The sequence below is a fragment of the Homo sapiens genome, chromosome 17, assembly GCF_000001405.40.
Source record: "Homo sapiens chromosome 17, GRCh38.p14 Primary Assembly".
Classification (NCBI taxonomy): Eukaryota; Metazoa; Chordata; class Mammalia; order Primates; family Hominidae; genus Homo; species Homo sapiens.
Genome location: NC_000017.11, coordinates 73,785,331 through 73,803,513, shown reverse-complemented (window position 1 = coordinate 73,803,513; position 18,183 = coordinate 73,785,331). Strand labels below are relative to the sequence as shown.

The 18,183-nt window shown below is 48.3% G+C and overlaps 2 long non-coding RNA genes across 2 annotated transcripts in view, besides 1 other annotated feature; one reads left to right on the top strand and one right to left on the bottom strand.

Moving 5' to 3' along the window:
* LINC00469 (long intergenic non-protein coding RNA 469) overlaps window positions 1–18,183 on the top strand; it is a 79,268-nt gene that overhangs the window by 25,024 nt on the left and 36,061 nt on the right. The window lies entirely within an intron of this gene.
* LINC02092 (long intergenic non-protein coding RNA 2092) lies at window positions 2,719–16,692 on the bottom strand. Its single transcript, NR_040020.1, has 7 exons — window positions 15,700–16,692; window positions 13,340–13,462; window positions 12,804–12,951; window positions 11,712–11,801; window positions 8,867–9,189; window positions 3,846–4,284; window positions 2,719–3,076 (listed from the first exon to the last, which is right to left on the bottom strand). It is a non-coding gene; the product is annotated as a long intergenic non-protein coding RNA 2092 (long non-coding RNA).
* Window positions 5,759–6,259: an enhancer, noted in NCBI's record as "H3K4me1 hESC enhancer chr17:71793394-71793894 (GRCh37/hg19 assembly coordinates)". NCBI's record gives its function as "activates a minimal SCP1, AML or CMV promoter by ChIP-STARR-seq in primed H9 embryonic stem cells {active_cell/tissue: H9 hESC(primed)}" and the evidence as "EXISTENCE:reporter gene assay evidence [ECO:0000049][PMID:30033119]".

Genomic DNA, 18,183 nt, shown 5'->3' with positions numbered 1-18,183 from the left:
GTAAAAGATAGCCCATGCCCTCAATGAACTAAACTAAAAAATAATGACAGCACATATGGTGGGGAATACTAGCAAGAGGCACAGGAGTAGCCTGGAGGAGGGAAAGGGACATCCAAGGACTTCTTGGAGGAGGGGCTGTCATATGTGGCAGATTATATTTTCCCTCAGTGGCTGCAACAATATTTCCATCCCACATGCTCTCTTCAGAACCTTGCCATTCCCTCATCACGAAGTGAAATATCCCCTTCCTTTGAACCTGGGCAGGCCCTTGTGACAACCTTGATGAGTAGACTGTAGCAGCAGTGATGCTACAGGACTTCCAAGGTTAGGTTAGAAAAGGTCAAGAAGCTTCTGCTGATCTTTCTCTCTCAGTATGCTTGCTCTAACAACATGGCCACCATGTTGGGAGGAAGCCCAAGCCACATGAAGAGCCTATGTGTAGGTGGTACCCACTGACCCAGGCAGACATGTGAGTGAGAAAGTCCTCAAGATGACTCCAGCCCAGCCACTGTCTGACTGCAGCCATATGAGAGACCACGAACAAGAACAGAACCCAGTTCTGAGCCCAGTCAAGCCCAGAACTATAAGATATGGTAATAAAATGATTGTTGTTTTAAGCCACTAAGTTTGGGGTTATTCATTACATAGTGATAGATCATCAGAATAGTGATTCTTAGATTACAATAGAGGTTGACCAGATGGCGGATGAATGATGCTCCAGGCAACAGGGACAACACATGCAAGGCACAAAAGCATGAGATGGGGCCTTTGATTAGAGACACAGGAGCTGGTATTGCCATGGGTGCCTGCTGGAGATGGTGTTGGAGGGTGTACAAACCATGTAAAATTAGGCAGCATGGGGTGAAACTATCCTGGAAGTCACGGCATGTTATGGAGGTTTTCAAGCAAGACAAAGATATAATTATCTCTGGATTTTAGGAGAAGGACCACTAGCAATGTGGACAATGGAACGGCCTGAGATGGGGCTTATTCATTCAGTAAATATTTGCTGCCATTTACCCAAGTGCCAGCCTCTGGGCGAGCTCAGTAGGGAGGATGTACAGATGAAAGACTACCCGATGAATCTGCTCAAGAAAGGAAGACAGTGTCAGTGAAGACAGGAAAGAGAGTCCTGGGCTATTTTGGGCATAAGATCAGTTTTGTGGCCAGATGAGTATGAGATATAAAGAGAAAGGGGATTCTGGAAAGCCTCTTGGATTTCTGAATTATGAGAGTAGGGGAATGCCAGTCCCTGAAATAGAAAATAGGAGGAGAAGCAGGTTTAGTGGGGAAGATAAAGGGCTCCATTTGGGCACAGTGATTCTTAAGTAGATAAAGATGTCCCACTGCCAGCTGTATTTACAAATTCTGGAGCTCAGAAGCAAGGGTTGGGATTTAAAGACAGATATAAAATTTATCTGTGCAATCAAACCATAGGAGGGCCCAGAAAATGGGAAGAGAGGAGGGCCAAGGGCAAAATGCTGGAGGGGGCCAGTGTTTAAGGGTGGCAAGAGGGAGAGGAGCAAGAGGAAAAGATGAGGAGAGGCGGGTGCCAAGGATGGAGCCTGGCCAGGTGGGCGTGGCCAGGGATGGCACACCATGCACATGGCAGCATGGGCGCCCGCCTTCTGGATTCCATTATGTGTGTGGCGATGGGAGGAGCAGGGAGGCTGGGCACGGCAGGGAGCCAATGGGAGTGGAAGGGAGAAGACAGGCATTTCTCTCCTGGGAGAGAGTAAATTGGGCATCTATCTGTTGGGCGAGGCATTCTTAACTGTGGGGGAAAAAGGCTGGATAGGATGACACCGCTCACCTCTTGGCTGAGTGGCTGATGTGCTCAGGACATTGGGCAGCAGGGATGTTGGAGGCCAGCCAGGCCAGCTGTCCTCCACTGGTGCCCTTCTACAGGTGAGGACATGGAGATTCAGAGACAAAGTGACTTTTGGTCTTTGGGCTAGAAGAGTGAGGACTAGAACCTAGGGTCCCAGCCTCCCAGATCAATATTCTCACTCTACATCCTTGCAAAACAAGGATAGCAGAAAGGCTGAAGTGCTAGGCTATTCTGGGTCTTGGGGCGAACATTTAAGCCCTAGGCCTGTCCCCTCTCATCCCTTCTCCCTCCTCCGGCAGAGGGTGGCTTCTGCTTTTTCTCCTTCTGCAGACGTTTTCTCTCAGCCAGTCATCGGGGAACCCTGAATCTCTCAGCTTTGCCCCTCAGGCTGTCACTAGCTCACGGAGGTCCCTAGAAGTGGGTGGCAGTAAGGCAGGCAGGGGAGGGAATGGAAGGAGGAAGGGAGAGGATGTTTGCTTGGTTTAAGGAAAGCGAGTAGGGGAAGGAGAGAGAAAGGGCATCAAGTATGTGTGTGCACAGATCTCCCGAGACGCCCCCACCGCTGCCACCCTGCCAGCCTCCTCCCACCTCCAGTGCCCAGCACCACTGAACCAAACTGCATTAAGGGAAGGCAGGCAGGTGCTTAGCGTCTCTAATGTGTTCCATTACAAATGCTCCACAATAAGGTAATTATGTTAGAAAATAATACACGTGTCAGTCTTTCTGGAAATATTTTTACTTCTGGCGAGGGGGAAACAGCACTATTGTTTTTCAAGTGCATCTCTGCTCCTGTACATATTAATTAACTGTGCTCAGGCTCAGCACCTCACAGCATTTGTATTATTCATAAATGTCTTGGGGCTGCAGTAACTTATGTACTCCCCTCCTCAGCTTGGAATCATTTTTTAATTTCAGGGTTTTTTTTTGACTAATTGCACTTGTGGTTTGCGCCTCCTGGACCAAGAGTTCTGTTCCCTGGCGGTTTCTCCATGTTCTCTTCCTCTTCTTTTCCCTCTGCTTTTTCTAGGATCTCTGTCTTCCAGGGTCCTCGCTGGGCCCCAGAAAGAGGCAGATTTGGGCTTTGGGAGGGGAGAAAAACTTCAGGAAATCCTGGGAAATGGTATTTGCTCATCCCTGCAGTCTGTAATCTTCCTCCTCCTCACCTGCACCCAACCCCCTCTTTATGACTCACCCCTTTCAAGGAAACTTCCCAGAATGATTTCACCCTCTCTTTATTTCTTCATCCTGCAATTTAGAAAAAATTAATAGACTTTATTATTTAAGCAGTCTTAGGTTTACAGAAAAATGGAAGGTACACAGAGTTCCTGTATACCCTTTTACTCCCACTCCAGCACCCCCTGTTATTAGCATCGTGCATTAGTGTGGTACGTTGGTTACGAGGGATGAGCCAATGTTGATGCATTGTTATTAAAGTTCACAGTTTACATTTAGGGTTCACTCCTGGTTTTGTACATTCTGTGGTTCAGGACAAAGGTGTGGCATGTATCCACATGACAATACCATCTGGAAAAGCTTTACTGCCCTAAAAGTCCTCTATGCTCCACCTATCCATCCCTCCTCCCCACCTCTGAAACCACTGATCTTTTTTTTTCACTGTCTTCATAGTTGCCTTGTGCAGAATGTCAGATAGTACTATGCATACAGTACAGAGCCTTTTCAGATCCCCTTATTTATTTATTTATTTATTTATTTATTTATTTATTTTTTTTTTTTTTTGAGATGGGGTCTCAGTTTGTCATCCAGGTTGGAGTGCAGTGGCACAATCTCAGCTCACTGCAACATCTGCCTCCCAGGTTCAAGTGATCCTCCCATCTCAGCCTCCCAAGTAGCTGGGACCACAGGCGCACGCCACCACGCCCGGCTAATTTTTTGTATTTTTGGTAGAGATAGGGTTTCACCGTGTTGCCCAGGCTGGTCTTGAACTCCTGAGGCCAGGTGATATGCCTGCTTCAGCCTCCCAAAGTGCTGGGATTACAGGCTTAAGCCACCGCACCTGGCCCCCAGCCTTGCATTTTTTTAATTTGAGTCTTAGTTCTTGAGTTGATGGAAGATACAGTCTGTCCCCTGATCAAGCTGTGGGCTCCCCTGGAACAGGGAACACATAATTGCATGGAATCTTCCTGGCTGTCCCTGGAAATATGTAGGCACACACCAGGATGCTGCAGGCAGGGGCAATCCAGAAGGGGCCTCACCATGCATTGGATGGTTGGACCAGAAAGCCTTTAAGATTTGAGATTCTGAAGACAAACCAGGTGTCTGGAAACAGCTGTGCCCCTAGACATTCATCCAGTCCATGTGAAGCAGGAAGTTCTGGGTTCCAGAGAGTGGTCACAGCTCAGGATGACTTCCCAATGACCAATCCTCTTGATTGGTCTGAGGAGATGAGCAGTGATGTTGAATCCTCTGGGAGGAACTGGTTGTGACATGGTTACCTTGTAGGGAAGCAAGTGGGTTGGTGATTATAGCTGAGCCTTCTTGTGTGGAATTGAATAGGGACATGTGACCCTCTGGCTCTATAGTAATAACCCCCTTCAGCCCTATCCTCTCTCTCTCCCTCCCCCTCACTATTGCCTATTGACCATATCTCTGGAAAGGACAGTATTTCTGACCAAGCCAGACCTCTGCTACATGATCCCAGGGAGCCAAGAGAAAACTGCTCAGGAGTAGCCATTCCTCCACATTTTGCTGAGATTTTAGCTAAAGATGAAGTCACTGGAGAATTCAAGGGCACAGAAGAAACATGGATACTCCTGGTTCCATTCTTTGTGCAAGGTGATGATAAATTCTTCAGAATTTAAATACCTCTTGAGAATAAGTGGAATGCTGTCCTTTTTTTTCTTTTTCTTTCTTTTCTTTTTTTTTTTTTTTTTTTGTAGAGATAGGGTCTTGCTATGTTGCTCAGGCTGTTCCAGAACTCCTGGGCTCAAGTGATCCACCTGCCTCGGCCCCCCCCCCCCCGGCCAAAAGCACTGAGATTACTGGCATAAGCCAGTATGCCAGGCCCAGGGAATGCTGTTCACCATCGTCCATGTCAGACCTTCCTGTTGGGAAGCTTTTGCTGATGTGTAAATTGCATCTATCAGGCAAAAACTGCAGTATATCATTTGTTGCTCAACTCCCTTTGGGGTAGGAAGAATGGCTGAATCATAGTTGGCAAGGGTCCAGGAGGGCTATAAGTCCAGTCATCCATCTAAATGGTTGGGATCCAAACCACTCAGATTCTTCACATGTAGAGAAATCAGCGAAAACAAGAATATTTGCTGTACAGCCTGAGTCAGAAGTCCAGGTTGGAAGAGCTCCAGAAAGTAGGGTTGGAGAGCTCTGATCCCAGGCCACACACAGCTATCTCTCCCCTGGTCAACCCTTGGACCCTCCTGAGTCAACAGTACTAGCTGGACAGTGTTGATTCAAAGCTTGAAAGAGGATTCGGCACCAGTTGACTCAGGATAGCGATTTGAAATGCTCAGTGCTTTCTGGCGGTTTAAAGCCTTTCTATTCTGGGCAACTTCCCCAAGGCTTCTATTCTCTTGCTAGCATTTTTGTTTTCACATAAGGAATTAAGCTCTGGATGACCGATGGCTAGAGTTGAAGCTAAGGCTTTGGAGCACATACATGTATCTTGGCCAGGGTCCCCAGAGTCCCCAAATCAAAGGACACAGGTGAGGGCAAATAAAGTCCTCTTGTCCCAGGGGCACGCATTGGCACTACCCTTCTCCTTGGGTTGGGGTGTCTAGATGAGCCTTCTTCCCACCCATGAAGACTGGGAATTGCAGGTGGCAAGAATCCACAGGGACAGCCTCTGGCTCAGCAGCCACTGCAGCTTGGAAAAACGGCCACTGCTGGCCCTGGTATGCACAGCTCTGGCTGTGTTGCTGAAGCAAGGCCCCAGCTGGTGCCCACCCCTCTGGGCCCCTGGCCATTCCTGGCCTGACATCCTCAAGCCCAGCCTGGCTGGCTCCTCTGAAGGCAGTTCTGGGAGGAGGTGTGGATGGAGGCTGGGAGGGTCGGGATGGGAGCAGCAGCTGCCCAACCCTTACTACCTCCTCAGCTCACAGGCAAGGTGAAATGGGAGGTGTTTCCTCCTTACTCAGTCTCCCAGTTGGCCCTCTTATAATCTGGGTGCTCCATTCTTCTCACTGAATAGGGATGCCAAAGTTGAAGCCTTGTCACCTCCTTTTCCGCTGATCCCTGCTCGCCCAGCCAGCCACAGAAACAGACCCTCTGCGAAGAGAACCCTGTTCGTGGAGCAGGTGGAAGGGTCCCTGGCAGGATGAGTAGTAGGTGTGGCCACTTTGGGATTCTGATATTTGTCCCTGTGCTGCAGGGGACAGCCTCCCAGCTTTGAAGCCACAGACCCTCAGATTCAGATCTGACTCAGTTACTCCTGGGCTTTATGAATTTCAGGCAGCTTAGACGCCTCAAGCTTCAGTCTCCTCATCTGTAAAGTGGGGGTAGCCGGCTCGCCTTCCGAGAGTGTTGTGAAGATAAAATGGGACACAGTCTGTAGAGACTCTCACTGGGATCTGGGTAAATAGCTGCTCAGATGCTGCCAGCTCCCGTTCTGTCTTCTTTTCAACCAGCTGCTCCTTTCTTCCCTCCCACCTGCCTTTCTTTTTCCTTCTCTCTCCTCACTCTGTGAGTCACCTTCTTATCACACAGCCTTTATATTTATTTCTTGTATATTTCACCCAGCAGTCGAGTTTTGCGGCTATTTCCATTTGCTCGTCCAATAAATATTTATCAGATGATTATGCTTGCAGCACGCCGTGTGCTGGGCAATGGGGTTACACCCAGGAGAAAGACAGGCATGCTTTTGGCTCATGTCAAAAATCACAGTCTGGTGAGGAAGACTGGGGCTGAACGAGTCATTTTAATGGAGAACAAGAGTTAGGATCATTTATCATGAGGTGATTCATCTGGTTCAGATGATCAGGAAAGGCTTCCTGGAGGAGGTGGCACATATGAGGAAATCTAAAGCTAGAGGAGGTCTCTTTAACCTGCACTTGGTGTCCTGTGGCTGCAGACACAAGCTCCATTATCATTATACACCACTTCCGTTTTGTTCTTCATAATTTTTTTTTTTTTTTTTTTGAGATGGAGTCTCACTCTGTCACCCAGGCTGGAGTGCAGTGGCTCCATCTTGGCTCACTGTGACCTCTGCCTCCCAGGTTCAAGCAATTCTCCTGCCTCCACCTCCCGAGTAGCTGGGATTAATATTACAGGCACCCACCACAACGTCTAACTAATTTTTGTATTTTTAGTAGAGACAGGGTTTTACACATGTTGGCCAGGCTGGTCTCGAACTTCTGACTTCAAGTGATCTGCCAGCCTCTGCCTCCCAAAGCGCTGGGATTACAGGTGTGAGCCACCATGCCTGGCCTGTTCTTTATAAATGTAAATGCCACTTTATTCCCTAAACTATTCCTGGTACCGATGTGTAATTCCATGAAGCAGTGAAGTATAATAAAAAATTAAGACCAAGGAAAATAGAGGAAACTAAGATCAGAGGCAAAGGCTATCTGCAGCTGTTGGAGCCACAGGACCTGTGTCATTGCTAAAATTAAACTGCACATTTAAGCCTGTGGGTCCAAGCAGTCAATACAAAAGACAAACATGATCATTTACAAAAATTCTCATTGTCTAAGAAAATAAAGCTGTGTGGTGAACACAGACTAAAATAGTGGGAGACACCACCAACTGCATCGTTTCTAGAGTAAACACAGTGAACAGGTGTTGCAAGGCCTGGAAATGATCTGATATAACCCAGGGATAAAGCCCAGAATGTTTGGGTCAGTGTTTCTCAACCCTGCCTGACATCAGAGTCACCTGGAATCCAGCAGACACTGGGGCCTTTCCCTTGTGGTTTGTGCCGCAGGGTACAGGTGAGATTTCAGCCTCTGTATTTTTCCAAAGCTCTGCAGCCATTTCTGATCCATAGCTAATGCTGAGAAACACTGATCTCTACCAGGGATTCTTATATTGTTCCACAAAGCCCCCAGGAACCTGCCAGCAGTCCTGGGAGCTGCTCCAGGGAAAAGGGAGCTACAAGGCAAGGATCACCCAGGGCCACCAGAAGCTGGAGGAGGCAAGGAAGGACCTTCCCCTAGAGGCTGTGGTCCATTCAGGTCAACCCCCAGGGCCCAGTGCGGGGTAAAGAAGGGCAGAGAGCAAGGTGGAGCTCGAACCCAGGGCTGCGGGTGTCCTGGTGGCTTCCTCCTCACTGCCCCTTCCATTTCCCATTCTTCAGAATACTGCATTTTCAGGGGTGTGGTTTTGTTTTGCTACACCTGACTCTGGAATGGCCAGCTCCATAAGAGCCCAAATGTGGAATTGACATTATTGGCCTTGCTCAGTCACTGATCCCCTGCTAGGAAACAAGAGCTGAGGTCATGCCTTTGAGGAGCCCACCATGGTATTTTGAATGATACCCTAAGCATCTGGATTTCCCATTGGAAGTCAAATGTTTCTCACTCCACTTAGGGCTTCTCAAGGTTCTAATCAATTGGGCTCCATTATTGGTACTGGTCTCAGTAGATCTTCCCTGGCCAGTGAGTCATGGCTCAGATACAGGGTCAGGATGCAGAGGTCCACAGGTTTTTGTGTCTCAACCAGGAAAAACCTCAGTGAGGGATGCCTTGGCCTCCTGGTTTGCATGTAAAGACATTATAACTTTTCAGAAATAAGACCCCCAGCCTCCAGAAACCCACCTGTGCCTCTGTCTGAAGCCCTGGGAAAACGCCAATTAGTTCCTCTCAGATTACAAAGACAGGAAACGGTTACTTCCTTCCTAGCTCAAAATATTCATCCCAAGAAAGGCAGAAAGCTTTTCTAAGGTTAATCGTATGACTTGGGTGATCTTGGACAAGGAAACTAATTTCTGTGAGCCTCGGGGCTGCTCTCCTGTGTAAAATGGGGATAACACACCTCAAAGAGCCCAAATTCTTAAAAAAAACTCATGGAAGGACCCCCCCCATCGGGCCTGACAGGTGGTAGCACCTAACCAAAGTCACTTACCATCTCCCTGCCCCTCCGCGAGGGTTGAGAAGTGCGGAATTCGGTCACTTTCCTTAGGAAGTTCATGGTCTGCTTGGGAATGGGGAAGCCATACATGCGGAGAAGGTCTTATGCTTGCTGTGTAAATCTGCATAATTGTAGCATGTCAGGACATCAGAACAGGCCTCTGTCTGGCACTCACGCTGCAGGGACAGACCAGAAGGCAGGCAGGGATGGATGAAGGGGGCATCAGAGGGGGCAGAAAGGGAAGACCAAGGGAGGGGTCCCAGCAGAACTTTCTCTTGAGAGTTGCTTAGTCTCCAGATCCTCAAGCCTTGACTCACCTAATGGATGGAAAATTTGTTTTCTAACTTGCTTGTTCTTTTATTAATAATATATGCATATGCTATGGTTTCACACATACAGCACTGTGACCAAGAGCCCTGGCTTTGGAATTGGACACACTTGGGTTGACTCTCAGCTCCGTCATGCATTGCAGGGCTCTCTGAGCCTCAGTTTTGCCATGTGTACAATGCGGATAATCCCATCTTCACAGATGTTATGAGAAACATGAGAATATTGTAAATCACTTATCAGTGTGCCTTATCAACACATTGCCTATCTTCTCACCATCATCAGCTATACCCTTGGCCCACCCTTTTTGGTCCCTAAGTTCATTTCAGCCCAACTATGTGCAAGGGCTCTGGTGACAAAGATCAATACAGCAGTTTGCACTTTCTATACACTCAGCAGGACAGCCCAACACCTAGATAGGTCATCCATAGAGAAACTTCCTCCATAGCCATAGAAGTTGGTGCAGGCTTCTCTCAGAGCTTAGAATTTGGGACTCTGTCTCAGTCTGGGACCTCGAAGGAAAAGATGTTTAAGCTGAATCACGAAAGATGAGCAGGTAGACACGGAGAGTGGAAGCGTTTGGGGTAGAGGGAATCGCAGAAGCACAGAGGGAGGCCAGGCATGGTGGCTCACGCCTGTAATCCCAAGATTTTAGGAGGCTGAGGCGGGTGGATCACATGAGCTCAGGAGTTCGAGACCAGCCTGGGCAACATGGCAAAACCCCACCTCCATAAAAAATACAAAAAATAGCTGGGCATGGTGGTGTACACCTGTAGTCCCAGGTACTTGGGAGGCTGGGGTGGAAGGATTGCTTGAGCCCAGGAGGTAGAGGCTGCAGTGAGCTATGAGGGCACCATTGTACTCCAGCCTGGGTGACAGAGCAAGACCCTGTCTCAAAAGAAAAAAAAAGCACGGAGGGGCGTGAGGTCTTTTTTAACTGGTCACTGAGAGGTGGGTGGTTCATGGCTTGGCCATAGGGTATGGGACAGAGAAGGTCCACAGACTATCTCAGGTCGAAAAATCCTGGGGGGGGATTCCTCTCCTCTTGGTCAGCATCATAAGACATTATAACCTCCCAGAGATAAGACCCTAAGCCGCCTAAACCCAGGCAATGCTGATGTTTACTCAGTGCATCTCTCTGAAGCCCTGGGCAAACATCAATTAGTTCCTCCTCCTTCCAAGCTCTGCTGCAGCCTGAGGAAACTTCTCCCGGGGCAGGTCCTCTCTTCAAGGGGCACAGAGGTTTGGGGCACAGGCCCCAAAGCTGCTGCTCCCCTCCCTGGCTGGGCTTATCATTAGGGATTTGTCATAGGCCGGGTTGATGGCTCCTGTGTATCCCTCCATATCTCCAACTCGGAAGTGAAAAGTGTGGCTTAGTTTGGGAGTATTCACCCATATGTATGTCTATATCTGGGGACAAAGAGGAAATGAGGTGGAGGGGAGGGCTGAGGGCAGACAGAGAAAGAGAAGAGAGAGGAGAGAGCATACAAGGGCATAAGTGGTGAGAGAGAGACATTTCACAGATTTTAAATATAGGAATATAAATATTTGAAAGTCTGGAGAGCTGTACATGTGTGGAAAATGCAGATTGGACTTACAAAGTCAGATACCAGGAAGCAAAAATGTTCATTCTCTTGAAATATTGTGAAAGAAAGCCCATGTCTATTAAGAACTCTCTCTCACATACATACATGACACACAGATGCACACACTTATATAACCATACAAAAACTATGACATATACATAAATGTGTACTGATACCCAAACACATATAGGAATGCATTAAAAATATGTACAAGAATTAGCCTTTTACTCAAAGGCACATATCCATCCATTCATTCACGGGTATTTATTACCTCCTATGTGCCAAGGACAATGCTAGGTTATGAGGATGTGGTGGTGAACAGGACCTGTGTCCTCTCCTAATGGTGTTTACAGCCCACTGGCATAGCCAAGACATGATCCTACACGTGCACAGAGCTGGAGCCAGAGGCTGGGGCTGCTGAGGAGGTGCGCCAGGGATTCTAGACTACCTTAGATTCATGTGTGCTCTTAAGCCTCTGAAGCAAGGTGAAGGGTTTACATATTCCAATTATTGTGTTTCATGACTGCTGTAATCCCTGATCCATAGATCATGAATAAATGAATAAGTTAGTGAATAATAGATGAATGAATGAGTGAAGAAATGAATGAATGGATATTCTGCCAACTAGCAATGAAGTAGACATGGCCTTGGGCTGCCCAAAACTGCAGAGTTCCATTCCATTCCTGAAAGAGAGGAGCCCCAGGTGCTCTCAGCTTTCAGAGGTTGAACCAAGGAAGGTGATCGGCCTTCCCAGCTCAGACCCTTGGGCATAGACAGCACTTCCAGGCTGCCCTCCAGCTGCTGAGCCTCTAGGGCCTGTGCAGGGGAGGCTGGTCAGGCTGCAGCTCAAAAGAAAGCCAGCTCTCTAACAAGCTTTGTACATCCAACGCCTCCTGTGTGTCCCCAGACGGGTGGGTGGAGCTTACTGCTTCTTCTGTCCTGGAGCAACTCCCATCCCCAAGGGATCTCTTCTGGGGTTTCAAGCTCTTCACGAAGCTTTTTGGGAAATTCTCCAGCTTCGGCGGAAAAGACATAGACCTTTACTAGCTGGTTCCTAATAAACCTCATTTAATGAACTTCATTACCATGCAAAGGAGCACCCTGACCATGGACAGGGAGCAAGAGGGGAGCCCAGGGGTGGAGGAAGGTGCTGTACTGCAGCCATATTCCTATCCCACTGTGTGTGTGCGTGTGCGTGTGTGTGTGTGTGTGTGTGTGGAGGGGGTGTGGGTGCACCTGCACATGCAGGGGTTCAGATGGGGGCCAGGCTGTCGCAGATGCTCTGGTCATTCCCCCTGCCATATCCCCCAGGCCTGACCATTTTGTGCTCTCAGCCAACCTCCCACTACCAGTGTCTATTTCTCTGCCTGAGAACTTTATCCAAAACTGCAGAGGCTGCTCTGCCCACATGTGCGTAGCTTGCCAGGACAGCGAAGGAATTTGCACCCCTTGGAGGAGCCTCTACCAGAGCCTGCTGGGAGTTGGTGTTTTCCACACCCAGTGTCTGTATCCCTGGACAGGGGGAGGGGTAACTCTGAGCTGGGTGTTTTACAGAGTTTCCTAGAGTTGACTCGGAGAGTAAGAGCTGGTTTCCTGCTGGGGCAGTGGGTTCAGGAGCCCGCCCTTCAGTGGCCACCTTCCCCTTCTTGTGTCCCTTCCCAGTGCCCTCCCCACCCCACCCCACCAGTGATCCCTATACCTCCCAACCCAAACTCCAAGCACTCATGTCCTTCAGGGTCAGCTTCTGGGGGAAACCAAGTGAAAACATCTGCACGCCAAACTCTTTGCCAAGTCTGACTGACCCCAAGGCCACTCTGGCAAAGCCTTCCTCGGGCAAAGTCAAATTTCCCCAAGGTGCCTCTATAGAAGGAAGAATGAGGGGCTTCTCTGGGAGGGCTAGCTGTGTCTGAAAGGAGATGGTCTCTTCCCTGTTCATGAGATACAAGGCTTGAGTCCAGGCTGGAAGAAGTTTTCTGGGATCCCCAACCCTTTCATCATCAACTCACACCCAAACTCACCTCCCACATAACCACCTGGGGCAGCCCTTAGCTCTTCGGAGGCACTTCTCAGTGGTCTCTTGGCAGAAGGAGGAGAGAAGAACTAAACCCAGGGAATATCAGAGGGAAGGCACAGGTCTTTTTTGGCAATTCTTAACCTCTCAGTAACCTGGAAAGGCAACCCATTTATAAATGAATACGAATATACTGCAACATTTAATGCAGAGAGAAGAAAACGCGTTGGCTTTTTTAGAAAGAGACTTTATAAAAGGCAGTTGGTTGGGGCTGGGGAGGAGGAGTGATGGAGGGTGATAACTAAAGTCTACAGGGTTTCTTTTGAGCGTGAGGAAAATGTTCTAAAATTGACTGTGGCGATGGTTGCACATATCTGAGGACTTACTAAACCCATTGAATCGTACGTTTTAAATGGGCGAATTGTAGAGTATGTGTATTATATCTCAATAAAGCTGTTTTAAAAAGGGGACAGTTGGTTATTAGAAAAGTCTGGCTTTGGGGGCTGGACAGATGTGACCTTGGGTTCCAGCTCTGCCACTTACTAGCTGTGCATGCAAGATATTCAACCTTGAAATCTCAGCTTCTTTGAGTGAAAATATTTCACTTTTAGGGTTGTAGAGTAGATTTAGGATACTTTATAAAGCACCTTTAAAAGTTTCTGGCACCTGAAGAGTATTATGATTAATAATTTTTAATAATTAGCGGTGAAAAATTATACGAACCTGCTACTAGAAATCATTGCATGTAAACTTCTCATCCATCAGAAGAGAAGCTAATTAGCACTGAAACGAAGCCATCCTTTCGAAATTGACTTACCTGGTAACTTAGCTGGTTTTAAAGAATTGTGTTAGGAAAGGCCTTTTGCAAATATTGAGAATGAGACTGTGATTATAATCAGTCTTTTGAAAATTCTGGTCTCAAAGAGGAATGGTCACAAATGAAGGGTCACGCAGGCCGGTAGCATTAGCACCCGAAGAAAGATCATTTCTATTTGAAAGATAAGTAGGTCAAGGGGGTAATAGGCTTCTAACAGCCACAGAGTGAGTGGGGTATGGGTGTTGAGGCGAGGCTAGACCCAGATTTTCTTATCAAGGCCGAGAGCCAGTTGATGGGATCCAGTGAAACATCCTTGAGGGAAAACAGGAACTAGCTCAGAACTGAAAATCACATGGAACCTGGAACCCAGAGGGCACCTCATGGTGCCCAAGTGTTGTACTTCTTTTAACTCTTGATACAGAATGAATCTGTTTATGTATCTCATAGAAAGGAGAAAGGGAACTAATTTCTGTTATTTTATATCTAGAGAGAAAGTGGTCATTGATGGAGAGTGTTTTGTTGTGTTTTAATATCTCCTCTTGCTTACCCATCTCTTAAATGCACAGGTTTTAGAGGAAAACAGATTTAGATTACATTGTCAAGAACTGTGTGGGGTCTGAAACCTTGCCCCATTTGCAAGTTAACAAGTTAGTCTGGCCTGCTACGGTTTCATGGATGCTGGTGGAAGACATGAGACTCATGGATCAGAGACAAAGGACAGTTTATTACACAATAGTAGCAGCCAGAGTATTAGGGTTTTGTGCCAATTCTCCAAGCCATGGTCTCCATAAGGCAGCACAAAGAGGGCCCTAGGTGATACCTGCTCACACAGAGTGGACTGTGTTCCAAAAGAGGAATCCTGAGCTTAAGGAATAGGAATCTTTTATAATGGACAGTAAGCATGCCTACCCTTTGCTCCAGAGGAAGATATTGGATTTTCCAAAGCTGTTCACCAGGCAAGCATCCTTATAAGGATAGTTCAGACAAAGGCAGTCAGTGTCTCTCTTTGCAAGACACACAGAAATGTGAGGGGCCCTCAGAAAATTGTCTCCCAAAACTCAATAGCTGTATAATCTCAGGCAAAATTACACTTATCCTTTCTGAGTCTCAGTTTCCTCATCTGTAAAGTAGGAGTAATGCCCATTTGCCATGTGGTTGGAAACAATAAATGAAATATCAGTATAGTCTTCCAAGCACAGTTCCTGGCACGCAACAGATACTCAAGAAATATCGATTACTTCTTCCTGCCACCTCTTCCCTCAACTAATGCCAGTTTAGTGAAGACTTTACTCCAGGCAAATCTATACTCATACCAACTCTTATGTAGATCCATTACAATCACACTCATATGAAAACCTTACATCACTATTTTGTTTCAAGATAGCAGCCCACCAGGTGCATAGAATCTAAGCCTGTCTTGATCCCATCACACTTGATCAATTTCAGCCCAACGACTCATCATTAAACAATTCAAAAATCCCAAATCCTCCAGCTCAGGGGCTCTCAGGCTTTGTGGCATGTTTAAATCACCAGAGGAGCTTTTAAAAAATGCCACTGCATCCAATACCAATTAAATCATACTCTCTGGGGGTGGGACTCAGGTTCCAATCATTTAAAACATTCTCCAGGTGAGTCCAATATACAGCCAGGGCCCAGCGCTCTAGCTCTTACTCAGACAACTAGCAGAGTCTGCGTGTGTGAATTTGCAATGCTTAAGCTGTTTCAGTTGAGTAATTGGGCCAACTCTAAAAAGGTCATCAGGCATCTGTAGGTACTTCACGGAGCCCAGGAAGGAGCTGTGGCCTGGGGAGGGGGAGTGGGCACAGAGAAGAAATTGAAAGTGGGGGAAGGTGGTCCATGCTCTAATAGAAGACAGGAGACAGCCCCCTTGTCCTTTGGAATTCCAGCATGGCCTGAGAATAGGGTCTATATACCCTGGGTACTCAATTAATGCTTTCAAATGGTCTCAGGCTTTCCAGCTCCTCCCCCCAGGCATCAAGCATTCTGCATGCACACTTCGGGTTGAAAATAGCTCCAGTCCTTGCCTTGCTCCCTGGCAGACTAGATTATAGGATTAACTCTTCACCTCCCAGCTGGGCTATGGGAATCCTCTTGCCTCTTTTCCTTAGGTATGAACGATCAATAATATAGATTTTCTCACTTTCTTCTTCCATCTTTGGAAGCTGTTCTTAGGCAGTTACCTTTGTTTTGCTGGCAGATCCAGAAGGAGAAACTAAGGCCTGCGTGGCCCTGGGGAGGGGTCGTGCTCCCTGATGACTGCCCTGTGGTTATGTGACATCCGCTGATCTGCTTGCTGGGGAGCTACTCTGTCCTTCCTCCTTTCTGGTAGGGAAAGTAAAGGTGCAGCAAAGGGGCTCCAGGGCCCCCAAAGTCAGGATTTCAAATTTGCTTTCTGCTACTGTGCAGTCCCCTTCACTCATAAACATGCAAATCACCCAGGTAATTGAGCCACCTGAAGTCCAAGTGAGCCTAATTTGTCTAACGAATTCAGGCTGCACAGCAAATTACCTGAAACTCAAGTGAAAGTGGGCTTTTCAGACTGGAGAGAGCCTGCCCGAGCCTTTGTTTCCAAACGGTTGCTGCATTTTCCTCATGGTGCCTGGCTGGAACAAAAGGGACCACAAACACCAAGGGAGGCTGGGGGAGCTGCTTTTGTCGGTCGCTGAAATAGCCGCCACGTTGCTAGCTGAGGCTAGTTTTGAAAGCCACTTGGCACTGGGGCTTCCTGCAGAACCCATGCTGCGATGAGGGAGCCCTGGAGCCTTATTTTTGCAGGAATGTGGGGCCTGAGCTGACTAGGGTGTGCCTTCGGGTCATAGTTCTTGGAAGGTGCAGGGCTGACTGGGGAAAATGGTGCACAGGGGAAACTGAGTCCAGCACACACTGGCACACTTCTCTTCATGACTCGATGGCTTTTAAAATCATAGCTGTTCAGGCAGGAGTGTGGAGCCTGCATAGGTGCCTGGGGAAGGAGTTGGAGGAACTTTTTCTGCCTTCTCTAGCTGAGCCTGGCGATGTCCAAGCAGGAGTGGTGAGGGATGGCTGCAGAGTCAGATCTCCCCACTCCATTCCCACCCCACCCCTACCCTGGGTTTTCATTATGTATCAGGGATGATGGCACAAAAACAAGATCTTTGTTCCTCCCCTCCTCCTGGGCACCTGCTGCTGTCATCCTACCCACCTGAAGGCTCACAGGCCACCACCAGTGACATCACAGGGCCGTCGCCACGGAAACGGGCAGTGAGGTCAGACAGCAGGGGCTTGATGGCTTCAGGCAGGGAAGGAGGGGAGCCAAGACCGAGGGGGCCAGGGTTTCAGGAATGGAGCTTGCTAGGGATTAGAGCAGACACAGCGAGAAGGAAAATGTAGCCAGTGAGCTTCCCTGAATCAGGAGAGGGCCAGGTTCCCGCTCGAAGGCCCTATCAATTAGTCACTCACTGCATGAACCACACCCGCCCAGCGCCAGCCTCCAAAACCTGATTGCCATTCGGGGGCTGGTTCTACTTGTAATTTGCTGGCTCAAAGGTCGGAATGGATTCCTAAGGAAAACGGATTTCCTGGTAGCCATTCCTTGGGGACTGAGCTCCTGAAATCAATTGGCCCAAATTTCAGCACAAATCAAGCCTTTAAATTCCCATTGAGGGTGGGAGTGGCTCACTAGGGGGATGGAGAAAAAAGAACAGCCAGAGGCTGGGGAGAGCTGGCAGAGAGGCCAGGATCTGTATGTCCAGAGGGTCAGGGGCCAGCAGGTGGGGAAGAGGGGGAGGGACAGGGGGAGCCGCTGGCGCCCTAGGAGGCAAGGAGAGAGGGCACTCTATAAATCACCAGCGCCTTTTTAAAAATGGAGTTTAACCTCCCCTAGCTTTGCTTTTGATTTTATTAGCGGTTTCATTTCCTTGGGTAATAATTCATTATCTCATTCCCAGCCTGGGGAACGGTGCCGGCCCAGAAGTGGCATTTACCTTCCTCACCTTAAAGTGATGCTTTTTTAGCTCTGTCATCTTCAGATCACTCTCAGCCCTGGCCCTGTTATCCGGCTGCAGCTCCACGTGGCCCCCCCCAAGACCTCACAGCTCCTAGGCACTGGCTGACCATGTGAATGAAGGGTGGCCCAGCTGACCTGGCCGCCCTTCCCTCCCCTCGCCAGTGCTCCAGCGTCTGCTTCTCCGACGCTATTTGCACCAGAACTGTCTTTGGGGCCCCAGCTTCTCTCTGTTGTGAAGCGAGACAGCTGGCAGGCTGCGGTGAGATAGAGCCGTTCTGCTGGAGCCGAGATAACTGCTCCTGGGAGGGAACCCAGTGGAGGATTGAAGGGTCCACATGTGTCAGCTTAACTGGAGGATCTGAAAAAGCTATTTCAATCTCGTCCCCAAGTGGGAAATTGGCAGATGCCCTTCTGTGGAATGAAAGTTTCCTCTTCCTCTCCATCCTCTCTGCCAAGGAAGAAAGCTTGATTAACGAGGGTGTGACAATGTTTTTCACAAGGAATAAGTCCTCCCAAATCCATTCTGGAGTCACAGAAAAGATCCCCTCCTGATGGGAAGTATGG